This window comes from Homo sapiens, chromosome 9 (assembly GCF_000001405.40).
Source record: "Homo sapiens chromosome 9, GRCh38.p14 Primary Assembly".
Classification (NCBI taxonomy): domain Eukaryota; kingdom Metazoa; phylum Chordata; class Mammalia; order Primates; family Hominidae; genus Homo; species Homo sapiens.
The window spans coordinates 92,716,496-92,736,664 of record NC_000009.12 but is presented as its reverse complement, the minus strand read 5'-3'; the positions used below and the strand labels follow the sequence as shown (position 1 = coordinate 92,736,664).

At 53.6% G+C, this 20,169-nt stretch overlaps 1 protein-coding gene across 3 annotated transcripts in view, besides 6 other annotated features; it reads left to right on the top strand.

Moving 5' to 3' along the window:
• Positions 1-20,169, top strand: part of BICD2 (BICD cargo adaptor 2) — a 53,471-nt gene that overhangs the window by 28,169 nt on the left and 5,133 nt on the right. For all 3 annotated transcript variants that reach the window (NM_015250.4, NM_001003800.2, XM_017014551.2), the window contains exons 2-6: positions 7,429-7,641; positions 13,857-14,009; positions 15,910-16,365; positions 17,083-18,126; positions 18,717-18,868. In NM_015250.4, the coding sequence (NP_056065.1) occupies positions 7,429-7,641; positions 13,857-14,009; positions 15,910-16,365; positions 17,083-18,126; positions 18,717-18,868 (2,018 nt within the window). The remainder of the gene's footprint in view (positions 1-7,428; positions 7,642-13,856; positions 14,010-15,909; positions 16,366-17,082; positions 18,127-18,716; positions 18,869-20,169) is intronic.
• Positions 1,318-1,917: an enhancer, noted in NCBI's record as "H3K4me1 hESC enhancer chr9:95497030-95497629 (GRCh37/hg19 assembly coordinates)". NCBI's record gives its function as "activates a minimal SCP1, AML or CMV promoter by ChIP-STARR-seq in naive H9 embryonic stem cells {active_cell/tissue: H9 hESC(naive)}" and the evidence as "EXISTENCE:reporter gene assay evidence [ECO:0000049][PMID:30033119]".
• Positions 7,237-8,076: an enhancer, noted in NCBI's record as "H3K4me1 hESC enhancer chr9:95490871-95491710 (GRCh37/hg19 assembly coordinates)". NCBI's record gives its function as "activates a minimal SCP1, AML or CMV promoter by ChIP-STARR-seq in naive H9 embryonic stem cells {active_cell/tissue: H9 hESC(naive)}" and the evidence as "EXISTENCE:reporter gene assay evidence [ECO:0000049][PMID:30033119]".
• Positions 7,328-7,567: an enhancer, noted in NCBI's record as "active region_28600". NCBI's record gives its function as "activates an Ori minimal core promoter by ATAC-STARR-seq in GM12878 lymphoblastoid cells {active_cell/tissue: GM12878}" and the evidence as "EXISTENCE:reporter gene assay evidence [ECO:0000049][PMID:35858748]".
• Positions 10,726-11,581: an enhancer, noted in NCBI's record as "H3K4me1 hESC enhancer chr9:95487366-95488221 (GRCh37/hg19 assembly coordinates)". NCBI's record gives its function as "activates a minimal SCP1, AML or CMV promoter by ChIP-STARR-seq in primed H9 embryonic stem cells {active_cell/tissue: H9 hESC(primed)}" and the evidence as "EXISTENCE:reporter gene assay evidence [ECO:0000049][PMID:30033119]".
• Positions 11,582-12,438: an enhancer, noted in NCBI's record as "H3K4me1 hESC enhancer chr9:95486509-95487365 (GRCh37/hg19 assembly coordinates)". NCBI's record gives its function as "activates a minimal SCP1, AML or CMV promoter by ChIP-STARR-seq in primed H9 embryonic stem cells {active_cell/tissue: H9 hESC(primed)}" and the evidence as "EXISTENCE:reporter gene assay evidence [ECO:0000049][PMID:30033119]".
• Positions 19,023-19,402: an enhancer, noted in NCBI's record as "active region_28599". NCBI's record gives its function as "activates an Ori minimal core promoter by ATAC-STARR-seq in GM12878 lymphoblastoid cells {active_cell/tissue: GM12878}" and the evidence as "EXISTENCE:reporter gene assay evidence [ECO:0000049][PMID:35858748]".

Sequence of the window (20,169 nt, the reverse complement as noted above, 5' to 3'; positions counted from 1 at the left end):
TTCAAGGCGAGTCCATAGAGTAAAGCGAAAGCAAGTTTATTAAGAAAGTAAAGGAATAAAGAATTGCTACTCCATAGGCAGAACAGTGACTTGAGCTGCTGGCTTAAGGATACTTATAGTTATTTCTTGATTATATGCTAAACAAGGGATGGATTATTCACAAGTTTTCTGGGAAAGGGGTGTACAGTTCCCAGAGCTGAGGGTCCCTCCCATTTTTTAGACCATGTAGGTAACTTCCAGACATTACACAGTGGGTACCTCGGGCTGTGGCATCTGTAAACTGGGGCCATCACAGGGCCATGGCATCTGTAAACTGTCATGGTCCTGATGGGAGTGTCTTTTAACATGCTAATGTATTATAATTAGCATATAATGAGCAGTGAGGACAACCGGAGATCACTCTCCTTGCCATCTTGGTTTTGTTGGGTTTTGGTGGGTTTGTAGTAATTACTGCAACCTGTTTTATCAGCAGTTAGTGTTTTATCAGTAATTACTGCAGCCTGTTTTATGTCTTTATGACCTGTATCTTGTGCCAACCTCCTATCACATCCTGTGACTAAGAATGCCTGTCTTCCTGGAATGTAGCCCAGTAGATCTCAGCCTCATTTTACCCAGTCCCTATTCAAGATGGAGTTGTTCTGGTTCAAACGCCTCTGACAGAGTCACATGATCAGTTCCACAGCTAATGGGTGCTGCTGTCCTTTAAGGATGGAGTCTGGATGTGGGCAGTTCACCTGAGCCCTTACGGTGAATGAAGAGGGGCCACCCAGAGCCTGCACTGCCCTGACAGGGACCGGCAGCCTCTTGTCCCCATGGGACTCTTAGAATGAGACTTAGGGCCTGAGTGAGCAAGGTCCCAGTGACTCCAGACCCAGTGTGCTGTGTGCCCGTGAACAGCAGGCCATTACTGTTTCTGCCATGCTCGTGGATGAGGACAGGGAGATAACAGAGATGAGGCACTCGCAGAGGTCAGGTGCTGTTTGCTTCACAGGCCCCCAGGCCTGCCCCTCCCTGCCCCGACTTGCCCTCAACTCCCCATTTCGTCCTCTGCTTGACAAAGCCCTGGGGTCTGGTTGCAGCTGCCCTTCCTCCCCAAGCCCTCTCCATTGTCTTCAAACTCCCCACTGACCTCAGGGTGGCTCCTAATGCTTCACAGAGAGTCCCTGGGACCTCCTGCCCCCATGTCATTGCTCGTGCTATTCCCTCAGATGAGGCTGGCCTTCCCACCCCATGTGGTTTTTGAAATCCCTTCCCTGAGCCCCTGTGATTTCTCCCTCCTGGCCAGAGCTTACCCCGCCCATCCCCACTTTTGATAGACCCAGCGTCTGTCCTGCAGCCTGTCCCGAGGCCATGCCACTGTGCAGGACCTGGCCTCCCTAATGGTGTCTGGTCCTGGCTCCCCTTAGGCACAGATGATTGTGCTATAGTCACATGGGTGTGGACAAACCTGAAGACAGCATTCTTGGCGGTCATGTGTTGGCCAAAAGCAAGGATTCTCCCCAAGGCGCCTGGCTGGTGGTGACCTCACACCCAGGCTCACCCAGTGTGTTAGATCCTGCTGGGCCTAGGCAGCTTCAGAGCAGTGGGTAGAGAGTGAGCCGGGAGCTTGTGTCAAGCACAGTGTTCGCCCATAGCCAGGGCAGCCCCTTGGGGGTTATCACCAAGGTGCTGCTTCCTCCTCAAAGCCCAGATGAGCCTAGTCTTATGGGCCAGGAGGGTAGGAACTTGGGCCTTCCACCTGTGTGTCCCTTTTGTTCCCCAGAGCAGCTGGAGAAGTTGTGGGCACGGGTGGGATGGAGGGCACATCTGGGATCCCCTTCCCAGACTGGATCCTGATGGTAGGTTGGGCAGAGAGCCCTCCTGTGGGTGGGCAGGGGATCATACCCTGCAGGGCACCAGCCTAGGAGGCCCACAGTGAGGCAGGGGAAGGAAGCTGCAAGGACAAGCCCACGGCTGGCGACCCCTTAATCAGATGGTGAACTCCAGTGCTCTTCTTAGTGCTTAATTGCACTCCTGGACCAGTGCTTCCTCCTGAGGAGACAAGATGGGGCAAACAGCCTGTGGGAGGGGGAGGAGGGAGTAACTCCAGCTGTCCTGGGTTGGGGGTGGGGGAGGTGGATTTTGTCTTCTCTCTTTTTTTTTTTTTTTTTTGAGACAGGGTCTAGCTCTATCACCCAGGCTGGAGTACAGTGGTGCGATCATGACTCACTGGAACCTCCGCTTCCCAGGTTCAAAGGATTCTTGTGCATCAGCCTCCCAAGTAGCTTGGGAATTACAGGTGCATGCCACCACACCTGGCTAATTTTTGTATTTTTAGTAGAGACGGGTTTTCACCATGTTGGCCAGGATGGTCTCGAACTCCTGGCCTCAAGTGATCTGCTTGCCTTGGCCTCCCACATTGCTGGGATTACAGGCATGAGCCACTGTGCCCAGCTGCCAACTATGCTAACTTCTAACAGCATAGATTAACTTCACTTATTCATGGAAGTTTATATATAAACAGAATCGCACAACATATACTCTTTTGTGTGTGGCTTTTTTCACTCAACATTGTTAGATTCATCTCTGTTATCTGTATAGCAGTAGTTTATTCATTTTTCATTTCTATATAGTATTATGTAAATAGTTACATAGTCACTGTTTATCTTTCTCCTGATGACAGATACTTGGGAACTCTGGTTTGAGCTTTTTTTTTTTTAAGACGGAGTCTTGCTCTGTTGCCCAGGCTGGAGTGCAGTGGCACGATCTCAGCTCACTGCAAGCTCCGCCTCCCGGGTTCACGCCATTCTCCTGCCTCAGCCTCCCCAGTAGCTGGGACTACGGGCGCCCGCCGCCACGCCTGGCTAATTTTTTGTATTTTTAGTAGAGACGGGGTTTCACTGTGTTAGCCAGGATGGTCTCGATCTCCTGACCTCGTGATCTGCCCGCCTCGGCCTCCCGAAGTGCTGGGATTACAAGCATGAGCCACCGCACCCAGCCTATCTTCTGAAAGTTTTATAGTTTTAGTTCTTATATTTAGGTATTTGATTCATTTTGAGTTAATTTTTGTGTATAATGTGAGGTAGGGGTTCAGCTTCATTATTTTGCATATATGTATCTACTTGCCCCAGCATCATTTGTTGAAAAACTTTTTTTTTTTTCCTCTGTCGTCCAGGTTGGAATACAGTGGCGTGATCTCGGTTCACTGCAACCTCTGCCTCCTGGGTTCAAACCATTCTCCTGCCTCAGCCTCCCAAGAAGCTGGGATTACAGGCACCCGCCACCACGCCCAGCTAATTTTTTTTTATTTTTAGTAGAGACGAGGTTTCACTATGTTGGCCAGGCTGGTCTCGAACTCCTGACCTCGTGATCTGCCCGCCTCGACCTTCCAAAGTGCTGGGATTACAAGCATGAGCCACCGTGCCTGGCCGAAAAACTATTCTTTGACATCAAATTATTTTTGTACCCTTGCCAAAAATCAATTGACCATATATATGAGGTTTTATTTCTGGACTCTATTCTATCCCGTTGGTCTCTGTATCTATCTTTACACTAGTACCACATTGTTTTGATCACTGTAGCTTTGTATTAAGTTTTGAAATTGTGAGTTCTCTCACGTTGTTATTCCCTTTCAATATTGTTTTAGCTCTTCTAGGCCCTTTGCAATTCCATATGAATTTGAAAATCACCTTTTCCATTTCTGCTAAAAAGGCTTTGGAATTTTGGTAGGGATTGCATTGAATTTCAAGTTAATTATCTTTTAAAGAGATTTAAATAAGAAAAATAAGTACTTTATATTTGCCTATTTAATTATCATTTCTTCCATGTAGATAAAGATTTCCATATGGTATTATTTTTCTTCTGCCTGAAGGATTTTATTTAGCATATCTTTAAATACCAATGCATATCTGCTGTTGATAAATTCTTTCAGCTTTTGTATCTCTAAAGTATTTCACCTCTATTTGTGAACAGTTTTCAGTGAGTATAGCATTCTAGTTAAGTTTTTTTGTTTTGTTGTTTAAAAGATGTTGTTCCACTATCTCCTGGCTTGTTAGAGAAATCAGCTGTCATTTATCTTTGCTCCTCTTGAGTCATGTATCCTTTTTCTTCTGGCTGATTTAAATATTTTTATTATATAATTGGTTTTAAACAATTTTATATTATGCCTTGGTGTAGTTTGCTTCATATTTCTTGTGCTTGGTGTTGACAAGCTGCTGATATCTGTGGGTTTATAATTTTCATCAAATTTGGAAAATTTTCAGCTATGATTTATTTCTTCAATTACTTTTTCTATTTTCCCCTTTTTCTCCTTTGGGTACTCCAATTACTCCTTACATAAGGCTTCTTGAAATTGTGTCATACTTCATACTTCACCAATGCTCTGTTTGAGTCTTGCTTTTGTCTTTTAGCCTTTTTTTCTCTGTGTTTCATTTTGGATAGTTTGCTGTGGTTTTTCAAGTTGACTGATCTTTTCTTCTGCATTGTTTTATCTGCTGTGAATCCCATCCACTGTACTTTTCGTCTCTAGAAGTTCTATCTGGATCTTTTTCTGTCTTCCTCATTTGTGCGCCTTTGCCTGCTCAGTGGTAAGTGACGGGATGCCAGCCAGTGGACCTCACCTGTTGGGAGATGGATGTTTTTGTATTCCTTCATGTGTTCTTGAGCTTTGTTCTGGGATGTAGTTAAGTGACTTGGAATCAGATTGATCCTTTCAGGTTTTGTCTTTATGCTTTGCTCTGTGGTATCAGAGCAGATTTAATCCAGACTAATTTTTTCAGGCCCTGGGAGTGCTCCCCAGCTGCCTGTGCATCAGGAGGGCTCTCCTCTGCTGTTGGGAGCAGGTACTGTTTTTGGCTGGTATAAATGGTGGGGATTGCTTTCTCTGCCCCCTCAGTGGTCCTTCAGTGACTTCTTCAGCTCTGTGCTCCCTGGTCCTCAGTGGAGATTCTGGCCCTGTGTGCAGGTCTGCCTAGCTTGGCTGCCCTGCTGCCATCTTCCGCCATCTTCCAGTCCCTCCTTGACAGGGTCTGCCACGCCTTGCCTCAGTCTCCCATTTTTCCATGGCTGGGAAGTTCTTTTGGTGGAGGGGGCTCCTGGAACTCCCCTCCTCCTGTCTCTCACTATCTAGTGCCCATGATGTGAAAACCACTGCTTATTATTTATTTATATTCTATCATTGCCTGGTTTTTTTCTTTTTCTTTTTTTTTTTTAAGTTTTCACACAGAAGGTAGTTCTAATTTCTGCAACAATCTCATCTTGGCTGTACGCGGAAGTCTGTATCTCAGTGTGTTTGAAAAGCTGCCCAGGAGTGTTTTGGGCCCCAGGCTGGGAGCTTAAGCAGAGGAAAAGATCCAGGGCTCAGGCCAGGAGGCTAGGACTTGAATGTCGTGTCATGGCATTTAGCTGTCATACCTGGAGGAAGCTTCTGAGGTGATGTCTGCATCCCCAGCTCCAGGCTCGTGGGTGTGTTCTGAGCAGCCATGTGTGCTGGACCCTTCATTTGGGTCCCTCCTGCTTGTCAGGAGGCCCAGATGGTCTGGCGCTGCCCATGCCGCCTGCAGCCGGCGGGCCCTTCACCCAATGAGGGACTTGGGGCCTGGCTGCCACTTGGGTGGGGAGCCTGCAGCTGGGGCCAATTCCATGTCCGGTTTCCCTTCTTGTGGCCCGGGGTGGCTGGCCAGGGTGGATGAGGTGCTGTGTAGACATTATGATTTGGACCTTCCTTGGGACTAGGATAAGGAAGAACAGAGCAGAAATCACAGAGCTGACCCGATTGCCTTGAAGAAAAGCGGACATCTTCCACGTAGTGGGTGTTGTGTTGATGGGTGGGGGCAGGTGAGCAAGACCCAGCCTCCTCAGGAGTGTGGGTGCCATAGACATCTGTGCATCCGCAGCAGGAGTGTCCATGTCAATCCCGAGTCCCCCCGTGCAGTCCCATTGCCAGCACCAGTCTTCCTGCTGGGCTGTGTTGTCCTGTTAGCCTTGTTTAGGGGTGTCCCCCGCAACACCACGAGACACACACACACAACACATACATCACAGCACATGTCACCACACCTGCCATAGCACATGTGTGCTCTTCCAGGCAGGATCCTGTGATCCTCACAGTGCTGTAAGATCAATCAGTCTGTCTTCCCCTTGAGTCCCCTGTTGGTCCCATGAGAGTCTATACTCAGACTAGACCCTGGTTTCTTTTACCAGTCTCCTGTTGGGACGAAATGAGTTACTCTTTGTTTTGATTTCTTGAAATTAGAAACTGTCCTGCTCAGTAACATCCTTATTCATGGTTTTTTACATTTTCCCTATTTTCTTGGACTGAATTCTTAGATTTAATATTAAATAGTAAATGAGTGAAAAATGCTCCTTTTTCTCTTTTAGGAAAACAAAGCCATCCGCTTTCAGTCACCTCTCTCTTGATCTTGTTTTCTGCCATGAGCCAGGATTAATGTAAAAAGATAAGGTCTTCTGCAAGAGCTCTGTGGTGGAGTGGCCAGTGAGACGGGCTGCTGGGGGTGACACACTGCGGCCCGTCTGCCCTCTACCCATGGAAGCCCTGTCCTGCCACGCCAGCTATGTGGGGGTAGTGGGCAGTGGGAGGGAAGGAGAGGGATGGCACCTGCTTGGAGGCTGGGCCACTCGCCTGGGGTGTACACGATGGGAGGCTGGCTGGCCTGGATTTTGGGGCATGGACATGACACAGCTGTCGACTCTCAGGTGCGTGGGCAGGTGGGCGTCCTGGGCTAGGTGAGCACCCCTTTCTGGTTGATCTCACCCATAAGGTCTCCTCCCTGAGCCCCAAGGCCCTGCACTTCTTTGCCACGTGCAGCCCCCGCGCCCCTTGTTCCTCACCCCTCTGGAACATGCTGGTATCTTGGCTTCTGAGCCAGGAACTGGGCAGAGTGGGTGGTACACTGTGCTGGCCTCTGTCTAGTTCTTACCATCACTGCCATCCTCGGGCCTGGGGCTCTGACTGCTCAGCCCAGGTCTCTCCCAGAAGGAGTGAAGGATGAGCCAGCATCAGGCAGCAGGATGGACAGACTCCCTCTGCCTTTCATATGTGGTGGCCGGCGTGCCATCTGGAGTGGGGAGAAGGTGGGGGCTGTGTGGGAGCTCCCTCTGCCGGCCCCCAGCTGCTGTCACACATGCCCACTGTAGCTCCCTGACTCCAGCACTTGTCTTGCCAGTGCAGACACTGTTCCTCAGAGACCAGGCTTTCTCTTATTTTGGTGAAGCAGATGAACCTTGGGTGCAGCTTGTTGCATTTGCATATGTGCACACCACAGTGCACGCCACAGATGCACCTCCCAGGTCAGGGGGCCTCCCTTCAGGCCCACAGTCCCCGTTGTTGTTGCTGTTGTTCTGCAGCATGAATGTCGCCTGTGAGCTGGGTCTCTATCCTTCGGCGCCCCTGGGAGGCCCACCTCACGAGTGTCTTGTCTTCTGATGCAGGCCTTTGGACAAGCACACACAAACCACAAGAAGGTGGCTGCTGACGGAGAGAGCCGGGAGGAGAGCCTGATCCAGGAGTCGGCCTCCAAGGAGCAGTACTACGTGCGGAAGGTGCTAGAGCTGCAGACGGAGCTGAAGCAGTTGCGCAATGTCCTCACCAACACGCAGTCGGAGAATGAGCGCCTGGCCTCTGTGGCCCAGGAGCTGAAGGAGGTGAGGGGGTGAGGAGGGGCCTAGTCTGTGGCTGCAGCAGTGCCACCAGTGTCACATAGCAGGTGTGCCTGGTGGGTGGCTGGGCTGGGCTGGCCTCTGGGGACGCTGCAGCTGGCTGGTCTGTCTTGCTTTCCTGGTCTCATCCTCCACTGCACTCCACTGCCACTGTCCTCCACGTGGCAGAAGGGAGAGAGATGGACCCACAAGTTCCACTGCCTCTGGCTTGCTTCTGTCTCACTCATGAAGCGAGTCCCATGAGCAAGTCCAGAGCAGAGGAGTGGTCAGTCAGGGAGGGGTGCAGTTAGCCCCTTGTGGAGGCTAAGGGCTGATGCCCATGGGGCACTCCTCGTCATTGGACTCCCCCCTGCCCTGGGAATGTTTTGTGTCACTCAGGGCCTGCACTGTGCCCAGCTGTAATAAGAACACAAACCCCAAATATTCCATGGAGACTCGAGGTAGGGTGTGCGTGTCTGAGAATTAGGGGTGGAGACCACCGCCAGTAGCCCCAGCTGCCACACCCCTGCCTTGTTCACAGCAGAGTGCCCGCAGGGAGGGTCTGGGTGGGTGGTCCCTGGCACCAGAGCCTGTTGGAGTCCTGGGTACCCATGGACAGCCATTGGTACATGGCACAGGCTCTACATCTGGAAATGGGACTGTGGTGTCCGTCCATGAATCCGTCCAAGTCCGTGCATGACTTGTGAACATGAAGTCAGAGGAACCAGCTTGGCTCTTGGGCCCTGATAGGGGCAAAGGCCACAGGACCAGCTGCTCATGGCCCTGACACTAAGGCCCTGGAGTTGTGGAGGACTGGGGAGCCCAGGGGAACGATGTGGCCAAAGCAGGATTTGGGAAGGTTGCTGTGGTGCCTGGAACCTGTGTAGTTTGAGCCCAGCAGGAGGAGGAGAGCCAGGAGTCTCCATCCACTGGGGCAGGTGGGAGGAGAGTCTCGCTGGCTTGAACAGGAGGCTCAGGGAAGGTTGAGTGAGCACCTGAGTGTCTTTTCTCACTGACTGGCACATATTTTAATTGAGCCCTGCCAGGGCCTCGGTGTCTGTGGAACCTGAGGAAACAGTGTGAGCAAAGCCTCATTCTCCTAGAAGGCATGTGGCAGATATCAGGGGAGAGCAGTACCCCGTGCCTGTCCCTGGGGCAGGGGCATGTTCACTGTGGTGCTGAGCCAAGGGCAGGAGGAGTGTCAGGAGAGTCCTGCAGGCCTGGGTGGGGCCCTGAAGGAGGCAGGGTCCAGCTTGGGTTTGGTGGCTACACGGGGAGTGGGCTGTGGGGACAAAAGTGAGGCTGAGACGACTGTCTTGGGGGCAAGAGGGGCCAGTGCCTTCTGAGGAAGGATGAGGCCCCATCACCAAGATGGAGGTGGGATGGTCCCTGGGGACTGCAAGTGGAGCTGGAAGTTGGCACGTGAGCTGCAGTCCTCCTGGCCGTGGCCTTTGAGGGTCAGCCCCAGGTTCTCATTGGGAATGGCTGGAGGAGTGGAGCATGGGTCGGTTGAGAATGGGCTGATACTGGCTTTGCCTTTCACTGAGCCTTGGGGCCTGGGCAAGGCCTTATCTTTAGTCCTGGCCTCAGTTTCCCCATCTGTAAACCGGCAGTCTCTGAAGCCCGTTGTAGAGGATGCCCCACAGGTCTTTCACCCCACATTGTGGGAGCACTTATGGACCCTTGTTCCTGACACAGGAGCACCACCCTCTGCAGCAGATAATCTTACGGGAGGTCAGCAGGGCATAGGCCCTGAGGGTATGCAGTGATTAGGGCTGCTGCTGTTGGCTTAGCATTCCAGTACTGAAGGATGCTGCCCTCGGGGTCAGCAGCGGAGTGAGGGGTCAGAGATCGCTGAGGCCCTAGGGGCCCAGGGAGGAGCTTGGCTTAGACTCAGGGTGGGGAGTCTCAGATCCTGAAGCGGCAGTACATGATCTCATTTCCTCTCACAAGGAGCCCTCTGGTCGGTGGGAGGAGGGGCTGTGTGTATGGAGAGATGTATCCTTGGCTGCCCCAGCTGCCATCTGTCTGGCCCGTCTATTCCTGAAAAGCGTGTGCAGGTGCTGTCTCCCCAGCCCAGCACATTCTGCCCCTTCTCTCTTCCAAGAGGCCTATCTCTGGTGGCAGAGGCCAAAGAGGGCTGGGTGACCCTGCTGGCTTCAGGTAAGACTGGAAATGAGCACAGCAAGTTAAAGATGCTGCAGGTCTTGTGGGGAAGAGAGGATTTCTGTGGTTCCTGTTTGTGCTTCAGGAGGAAATCCTGAGACTCCCTGCACACCCCTCAGCCTTCCCTGTCTCTCCTGAGGGTCCCCACCTTGGTCCCTGGGTCTGCTGTGTCCCCCATGACTGTGTCCCTGCCCTGGGTTGCTGCAGAGCTGTGGGAACCATCCCAGGTCTTCGCCTTGGGTACCTGGTTCGGGTGGAGCATCTCTAGGACTGACCTTGTCTCACCACCACCAGTCCCAGTCATGCATAGCTCTTGTCTTCTGCTGCCTGCTGTTCTGCTGGTCTGAGCCACTGTGCCAAGCTTCTCTGTGCCCACCCCCAGCGTGGCTTTCCCCAGTCACTGCCCAAGGCTCACACCCCATGGGTCAGAAAGGGTACATTTGACGATAAAACAGCCTTCATTGTATCCTTTGACCCACCACCCTGCTACCCACAACAGCCCCTCCCCTTTTTTCCTCCCTTGGGTCAACTGGTTGTCTGTCCCCCTCCACACCCCAACACACCATGAGGACCTGTGAAGCTTTACAGTAACAAACATATTTGGCATGTGTTGGACAGTTCTGATTGCCTCAGACCTGGTCCTTCTGGTGACCCTACTGGTATCTCGTCAGATGTGAAGAAACAGAGGTTTGCAAGGTTCCATCATGTGCCTAAGGTGTCCTGGCTGGTAGGGGGTGAGGTGCTTCTCAGATCCTGACTCTAACCGCTGTGTATGTGTGGGCCCTACATGTGGGCAGCCCCTCCAGCTTCTCTCCTGCTAGTGAGAGCATCTTTCCTGCCTGGGCCCCTGGGAGGTGGGTAAGCTTCTGAGGACTGGCCTGGATTGGGCCTTGGTGGGGATGTGGCTCCATTTCCCAGATGGGGAATCAGAGGCCCAGAGAGCCACAGGAGGCCTGGGGTCAGAGCTGGGTCTCATACACACACCAAGATCTTTCTTCATATTTGCCCCAAGAAGGAGTAGGGTGAAGGGGCTGGCCTAGGCCATCAAGGCAGAGATGAGAGTTTCCTGGTGTTGAGGTTGTCTGGTGGGGACAGGAGAGAGGGCAGCCGACCCCCTGCACAGTGGCTCCTTGAAACAGGCAATTGTCACACCCTGCTTGCTGATGAGCAGTCTGAGGTGTGGGGATCCCACAAAGGGGAGTTGAGATGGGACCCTGGTGGTCAGCTACAGGCCTGTGCTCCCACCTCCTTCATTTGGGCTGCCCAGTCACACGCAGCAGAGCTTGTCCCCTGTACTTCTTTGGGCTGACATCAGACAGGCTCACTGGGAGAAGGTGCTTACTTGAGGGAAAACTAAACCCCATGGCGACCAGTCAGCCTGTTTGAGCCCTTGGCAATTGGCCGTGTGCTGGATGGAGGTGCTAGGTGGCAGGCCACATGAGCCTGGCTGCCTACGCCCAGTAGTGTGGGCATGGAAGCACAGTGTTTGCGTCCTACTACAGCATCAGCAGAGATGGTGCCATCATCACCCATGACATGGTATGGCCAGGCCAGCATTTGACCTGGGTGTGCCTCTGTGTTCTGGGTTTGGCAGTGGTGCAAGGACAGAACTCCTAGTACACCTTGCCTGGGCCAGGTGATGAAGGACCCTGAGGACTCACATGAGCACTGCCAAGGGAACAGCAGTCTCGTGTGTGCCTCTGGGGGACCCTAATGGTATGAGGCATCTGGCCAGGCTCTCTGCTTCAGTCTTTAGTTGGGCATGTCACTATCTCCCTGCCCAGGCACATGGAAGCTTCTGGGCTCTCACTTCCCACTGCCTGGAGCACCTTCTAGGTTTGTTGATCTTGACTGGCAGGCCTGGGAGAGTTGGTGGGACTCAGACCTTCCCCTCAGCTTCCACTCCGCCTGAGGAGCCGGCTGGGTGGCCGCGTTGAATCAAGTGGCACATGTTTGCACACCTGCTGCAGACCACTTGCTTGCCAGTTAGCAAGGAAAAAGCAGGAACTGGGCAAACCTTTCTGGCAGAGAGGTACCCAAGTCTCCAGCTGGGGTGTGGAGAGCCTGGGTGTGACTTGGCTTGTGCAGCTCCCCTAAGCACACTCCTGGGGGGTGCTGCACTCTCACTAGCAGGAGAGAGGCTGGAGAGCCTGCCCACTCCCTATCCACCCCCCGTGTAGCCACTGTGGGGCCCGGCCCTGGTGATGGCTGTGCTGGTGCTGCTTTCTCCCGCTTCGTCCCAGCATGCACCTCGCTCACTTTCTCCTCTGGTACAAGGCTTTGCCAGGCCTTCTCTTCCTCCCTGTGTGGTATCTCTGTTTCTTTTGGTGTCAGCTTTCTGTCACTTCCTTGGGTCACTTATAATGAGAGGGCCATGTCTGCGTCCATTTGCTGTAGGTTTTAAATGTAATCTTCATTGTAAATAGTAAGCATTTGTCAGTAGTACTTGCTGTATATTGTTGACTCTCCTCCCCTCTCTGTTGCATTCCTTTTTTCCTTTGTTTTGGGAGGGATGTCCTATTTCATTTTGCCAGTATGATCGTTTTGTGTGTACTTGCATGGGATCTTGGAATCTTGTCTATAAAGTATGTTCCATTCAGATGAGTGCACACATGTGACCAGGAGAAACCATAGCATAAGCCAAGAGAACAGTGTGAGAGGTGGGCGAAGCTATGGGGCCCGCAAGATGGACAGGGCTTCTGGCCGAGAGTCCAAGAGGGCTTTGGAGCAGGGGTGGTGATGGTCTGGGGAGCCAGGCCTTTGCAGATACACAGGGAGGCAGCTGGGTCAGCAGAGTACAGGGAGGGGATAGAGAGTTTGTCAAGGGGATGATTTTGCCCCTGGGGGACATTGGCAACGTCTGGAGAGATTTTTCAGTTGTCACAATGGAGGAGGCAGCCGTGTCTGGTGGCCAGAGGTCAGGGAGCTGCTAGACATATGATGTACAGGCCGGCTCCCACCACAAAGAAGAAACGTCCCTGAATGTTGCTAGGGCTGCGGCTGAGGGGCCCAGGTCCCTGGCACATGGCAGCAAGTTGGAAATTCTGTCTTGATTGCATCCTGTTTGCCCCAACCCTGCACTAGCCTCTCCCATGACATCTCTTGGCTCCTTATGGGCAACTTAGAGCCTGAACTAATTTTTAACAGCTTTATTCAGGTGATTTACATCTCATATAGTTCACCCACATAAGGTGTACAACTCAGTGTATTTTATGATAGTCACATATATGTGCCCCATTCCACAATCTTAGAACAGTTCATTGCTCCAAAAAGAAAACCCATTTCAGTCACTCCCCATCCCCCTCCCCAGCTCCTGGCAGCCACTAACCTACTTTGTGTCTCTATGAATTTGCCTATTCTGGATATTTCATGGAAATGGAATCATATAATGCATGGCCTCTCGTGACAGGCCTTCTTTCACTCAGCAGAATGTGTTCACGGGTCATTCATGTTGTAGCATGTGTCAGTACGTCATTCCTTATTGTGGCTGAACAACATTCCATTGTGTGGAGAGACCACATTTTGTTTATTCATTCATCAGTCAATGGGCACTTGGGCTGCTTCCACCTTTTGGCAAAATGAACGCTGCTGCTGTGAACATGTGTGGACCGGTTTCTGTGTGGGCATGTGTACATTTCTCTGGGGTAGACCCTCTGTGTTTAACAGTTGCAGCACCTGCAGGCTGTTTGCCAGAGCACTATACCATTTATATGCCCACCTGCGCACTACTGTGTACATGCCCAATAATAGAAGGCAGGAACTACTTTTAACCCCATTTTAATTTAAAGATGAAGAAACCAAGGGTCGGAGCAGGCAGTCACGGGTTCCCAGGTGAGAAGGGCTGAGGGAATTTACTCTGGAACCTCTGCAGTCCGCTGTGCACTCTGGCATACTGCTCTGGGCTCCCTCTCCTCTCCAGGCAGTCACACTGGCACCTGCAGGCCAGGGCTCTTGAGTTCTGGCTGTATGGCTGGCCATGGCGTGCCTGGCTGCACTGAGCCCCTCTCGTGCCCTGTGGAGGCTGCTCATACCTGCCTTTCCCTCTCCCCCAACAGATCAACCAGAATGTGGAGATCCAGCGTGGCCGCCTGCGGGATGACATCAAGGAGTACAAATTCCGGGAAGCTCGTCTGCTGCAGGACTACTCGGAACTGGAGGAGGAGAACATCAGCCTGCAGAAGCAAGTGTCTGTGCTCAGACAGAACCAGGTGAGTCTTGGGCCTGTGGGGTGGAGGTGGCACGTGGGTTAACTGGGCCTTGAGGACCTCTTGCTCAGCCCCTCTCCCTGTTGGGAAGGGGTTCCTGTCTTATTCCACACACCCGAGGCCCAGGGCCAGCTTTACCACTGTGGAGGCAGGGGTATACTTGGTGGGACCCAGACTCTCCAAAAGATGAAACTCTGGCTGCAGTGTTTGCTGACATTGGCCAGGCTGAGGTGTCCCAGCCAACAAAAATGAAAACAAAAATCTGAGAGGTAATGAAGAGGTTACACCAGAAAACCCCAGATTGGACTTTGAGACTCCCCCATCAGGTGCTGACCATGAGGCCTGCAATATTCCTGTGTCTCTGCCTGTGACAGGGACAAGGAAGGTCCTCTCTGTCTGTGACGGGGATGAACAGGAACCCCTCTGTCTCTAATGGGGTCTCAGAGGGACCCCTGACAGGGACGAGTAGGGTCTCTGCCTGTGACAGAGATGAATAAGGAGGGTCCCTTCTCTTTGTGATGTGACTAAATTGTCATGTGCTCTGCTGTTCTGCCACTCAAGGCCTGAACTTGCTCTTCTCTCTGCAAGAGCCACACTCCTGCATGGTGGGGAATGGGAGTCTTTTCTCTCCCAAAACTTTCCCCAGAATGCCATGGATGTCTTCCTTGCTTTCCTCAAATCCTCTACCACCAAAATCCTCTGAGTCTCACCATCAGGGAATGTGGTATTTATGCCCGGAGGAGGAAGCTCATGTGTTTATGCAGAGCTCCTAGCCTGGTCCTTCTGTGACAGCTCGAGCTCATTAACAGTCTTAGCCACTGTCTACATTGTAAGTACCATTTGGTCATTGGTGCTGCTGTTGGCAGAGCCCAGCGCATGGTGGCCTTAGGAGAAGGGAAACTGAGGCTTGAGGCGACCCTGTCCTCAGGTTGGCGCTTAGTGGAGTCTGACTCTCTCTCCCTCTCTGGGATTCCTCACCTCCGCATTTGTGGTGCTGGGACTGAGGGCTCCATGCCCACCTCCTGTGAGCACACCTTGGATGTGGTAATGGGTGTCCCTTCCGACCCAAGACCCACAGAGATGTGCTCAGCACTTCCTGTTACTGGTTTGTTTCTTATTTTTTTCTCCAAATATTACAGAAAAATAAGAAATAGTTTTAGCAATTGCCCACAAATTCTGAGCCTCCACATCAGGCATCAGTTTCTATCTGCTTTTTCCTTGCCCACCTGCAGATACAATTTTCATGTAGACAAGACTTTGATGTTGCTTTTCCCACCTACCTTCGAGCTCCTCCAGGTCTGGGTGTCATGTGCATGTGGAGGTTTAGTGGTTGAGATGTTCTGCCTTGCGGGGAGTTTCTGTTCCTTCATTTTGAACTATGATTAGAAGTCATGATCATAGCACACATTGAAATATATTTTTATGTATCTTAAGATATTTAGTTAACTGTTAATGTTAATTAAATAACTTTATAGAATTTTTAATCAGCATGCACTTGGTAATATTTGTGAATGACTTAATACAAGGTTGGCAGCCTTCTATGGATGGATGTGTGTTGTTCTTGGTGCATCTCCACACGTACAGTCCTGGCTTGGGGCCACCTCAGACATTTGTGCTCCCCTTGCTGTGTCTGCTGGTCCCAGCGGTGGGTGGGCTGGGCTGAGCATTTCATTGCATTCGCATCTCATGCCCTGGAACCTTCTTAGCATCCACATCTCTGAGCAGAGGAAGCAGTCTTGGCCTGGACGGGCTGCCACCCTTCCCAGGATGGCACCTCACCTGGCGCTTCATCTTTTGCTTCATAGTGGCCGGAGTTGGTGTGCTGGTGTGTTTTCTTCATTTATGGGGCCTGAAAGGAGCTTCCACATTGCATTGATGCAAGAGCGTTGACTTCTCTTCCCAGGTGGAGTTTGAGGGCCTCAAGCATGAGATCAAGCGTCTGGAGGAGGAGACCGAGTACCTCAACAGCCAGCTGGAGGATGCCATCCGCCTCAAGGAGATCTCAGAGCGGCAGCTGGAGGAGGCGCTGGAGACCCTGAAGACGGAGCGCGAACAGAAGAACAGCCTGCGCAAGGAGCTGTCACACTACATGAGCATCAATGACTCCTTCTACACCAGCCACCTGCATGTCTCGCTGGATGGCCTCAAGTTCAGTGACGATGCTGCCGAGCCCAACAACGATGCCGAGGCCCTGGTCAATGGCTTTGAGCACGGCGGCCTGGCCAAGCTGCCACTGGACAACAAGACCTCCACGCCCAAGAAGGAGGGCCTCGCACCGCCCTCCCCCAGCCTCGTCTCCGACCTACTCAGTGAGCTCAACATCTCTGAGATCCAGAAGCTGAAGCAGCAGCTGATGCAGGTGAGCAGGCAGTGGGGCCTTCGGCACGCTGTCCCCACTCCAGGTCTGCAGGGCTCCCCGAGCAGTGCTTACCTGACACTCTGCTGATGTTAACTTTCCCTTTTCCTTACGTTGATTTTATCTCCTGCATCATTACGGTAAATGGAACTCCAGGAGCACACATAGAGGAGTCTCAGAGAAGTGGTTTCCTGGCACTGCAGCACCCACATTGCTCCCCTGTTAACTACGTGGTGTCAGGGTGAAGTGATGAGACACTGGCCCACATGTGATCCCTGCACGCAGGCCAGGTGTCAGGGGCCCACCATGGTCATGCTTGGGCTCATCCCCTGGGACATGGATCCCTGTTGATCCAAGGCAACAGAGTCCTGTCCTCCGAAGCAGAGGGCTAGGGTGCTAATATTCCCGACTACACACCCAGCCAGCCTAGAGCTCCACTTTCTTAGCCCAGATCCCCTGTAGCATGGTTGGGGAAAGAGCCTGCGTTGAGGGTGACCACCATTACTGGTGACGGTTAGTGTTCTGAGGGCCCAGCATGAATTCCATTCTTTCCACACCCTGTGTGTCTTTGTCCACCTCACTGACAGCATGGCCAAGGAACCTGGGGCTGACAGCCTGCCCTGACATGGGGTGGGATGTCACTAGGCCATCTTGGGGGTCCTCCAAGCTCTCGGGGTCCATAGCAACTGACATGGTGTCCTGCTGCCTGTGCCTTTGCAGATGGAGCGGGAAAAGGCGGGCCTGCTGGCAACGCTGCAGGACACACAGAAGCAGCTGGAGCACACGCGGGGCTCCCTGTCAGAACAGCAGGAGAAGGTGACCCGCCTCACAGAGAATCTGAGTGCCCTGCGGCGCCTGCAGGCCAGCAAGGAGCGGCAGACAGCCCTGGACAACGAGAAGGACCGTGACAGCCATGAGGATGGGGACTACTACGAGGTGGACATCAACGGGCCTGAGATCTTGGCCTGCAAGTACCATGTGGCTGTGGCTGAGGCTGGCGAGCTCCGCGAGCAGCTCAAGGCACTGCGCAGCACGCACGAGGCTCGTGAGGCCCAGCACGCCGAGGAGAAGGGCCGCTATGAGGCTGAGGGCCAGGCACTCACGGAGAAGGTCTCCCTGCTAGAGAAGGCCAGCCGCCAGGACCGCGAGCTGCTGGCCCGGCTGGAGAAGGAGCTAAAGAAGGTGAGCGACGTCGCCGGCGAGACACAGGGCAGCCTGAGTGTGGCCCAGGATGAGCTGGTGACCTTCAGTGAGGAGCTGGCCAATCTCTACCACCACGTGTGCATGTGCAACAATGAGACACCCAACCGTGTCATGCTGGACTACTACCGCGAGGGCCAGGGCGGGGCCGGCCGCACCAGTCCCGGGGGCCGCACCAGCCCCGAGGCGCGTGGCCGGCGCTCACCCATCCTCCTACCCAAGGGGCTGCTGGCTCCTGAGGCGGGCCGAGCAGATGGTGGGACGGGGGACAGCAGCCCCTCGCCTGGCTCCTCACTGCCATCACCCCTGAGTGACCCACGCCGGGAGCCCATGAACATCTACAACCTGATCGCTATCATCCGTGACCAGATCAAGCACCTGCAGGCAGCCGTGGACCGCACCACGGAGCTGTCACGCCAGCGCATTGCCTCTCAGGAGCTGGGCCCCGCCGTGGACAAGGACAAGGAAGCGCTTATGGAGGAGATCCTCAAGCTGAAGTCGCTGCTCAGCACCAAGCGGGAGCAGATCACCACGCTGCGCACTGTGCTCAAGGCCAACAAGCAGGTGAGGTGCCAGGCAGCAGGGGCACATGTCACCTACTACTGGCCTAAGGGTGTTTCCCCCTTGGCCTCCTTCCTCCCCCTGCCACGGGGCCCCCCCAGGCCTGCGTCACCACCAGACAGAGCCAGCCCCATAGTAGCTCGACTGCCTACCCTCCCCTGCTCAGGGCCCCCAGCTGGGAGGGTGGAGCAGGCAGGTGGGTGTGAGGGCCCCTCAGCAGAGCTGCTCAGCCAGTGAGAAATGCCGCTGCCCTTGACTCACTGTGACTGCCTCGTAGTGCTTCCTGATACTGGAGGGAAAACATGTGAGAGCCATAGTCTGAGCTGTGGAGAGCAATTGTGGGGCTTCGTGGAGGTCCTGTTGGCAGGTTTAGGGGCAGTCCCTCCTCTGCCAGTCAGAATCAGCAGGTGGGACTCCCCATGGCGTAGCTGCTGGAGTCCATCCCCAGGGTTTGTCACAGGGAGGGGCCTCCCAGGAGCTTTCTTCCCAGGCACTGCCACCACTTCAGACCGGGGCTCCCGATCCTGCTCCCAGAGCACCTCTAGGCTGACTTCACGCCTTTCACTTTTCCACCCTACACATCTGTCCCCCAGACGGCCGAGGTGGCCCTTGCCAACCTGAAGAGCAAGTATGAGAATGAGAAGGCCATGGTTACCGAGACCATGATGAAGCTGCGCAATGAGCTCAAGGCCCTCAAGGAGGACGCAGCCACCTTCTCCTCGCTGCGTGCTATGTTTGCCACCAGGTAACCGTGCTGCTGTCGGGCCCTCCCCTTCCACAAGGCCAGCTGTCCTCAGCACTTGCCTCTGGAACCCTTAGCCTCTCACTGCCTCATGCTGAGGCCTGCAGCCCTGACTAGTCAGTGGCTGTGCCCAGCTCCATCAGGGCCAGCATGGTACGAGGTTGGGGAAGCATGGCCCCTGGCACATCTCTGGCACACTGGTGCTCAAGTTGGTGACAAGAAAGGGTGAGGCGATATGGGGGCCACATGGGGTTGGGGGCCCCTAGCTGCTGCACCTCAGCTTCCTCCGAGGTCACGCAAGCAGTTGCTGGAGCATAGGGCATGCCTGGCAGGTGCCCACATGTGGCCGGGGATAGCAGAGCGTGTGTGATCCTTTTAATGTTCCTTTTGCACCTAGCCCAGCCCCCAGGAGCCTGGTTCTGTGGCGCCGGTTCCATTTTGCTGTGAATGAAACCGCAGCAGGCCCAGGCTTGTCTCTGCTTTGCATATATGGAGACTGAGGGCAGAAGGGCTGAGGAGAGCAGATCCTGGAGTGGATGGGCCAGAGTTGCATAGCTTCAGGGGATGCTTGGGCTCCCACCCCTTGAATCCAACATTTACAGGGACTTAACTTGGGGCCAACAGGTGACAGAGGAGTCCTGGCCTTTCCTCTCATGAGGTATTTGCCCCCAAGAACTTGGCCATATGGCACAAGTGTGTATTTATGTTTGTAGATTCAGAAGGAAGATTATCCTCCTGGCTGGAGCAGGTCACTGCTGGGGTCCACAGTTCGGGTCCCACCTCTGTGCATAGCCCTGTACCTCTGCGTCATTGTGACCGCTGGGTACTCACCTCCCATCCTCTACTTTGCCAATCTGGGGAGGGTGAGGAGAGGGCCGGGGCTTGGAGGAGACCAGCTTTCTTTCTTCCTCTGTGGAGGGCTCTTAGTAATGGGCTCTGAGGTGGGCTGCCCCTGGTGGGTGCACACCCCTCCCTGGCTGGGACTCAGACCCCAAGGCTGGGAATCGAGGCTCCCTAAGTGTTCACAGGCCTCTGTGGGGCAGGTCCTGGTTTCAGCATCTTCCCAGGTGCCCCCTGACAGGTACCGCTGTCTTTCACTTTCCAAAGATGGGTAGCGCCACCTGCTGGGTCATGTTGGGATAGCACCATGGGGTCAGCCCTGCATGGGGGACAGCCAGGCCCACCATGGGCCCAGCAGATAACCTAGATGTTTCCTTTTTATGGGTGAGCAAGCTGAGGATCTGAGCTGGACAGGGTGGGAACTGCATGCACATAGGGCCTGCTTCTCTCAAGCCTGGTGCCGT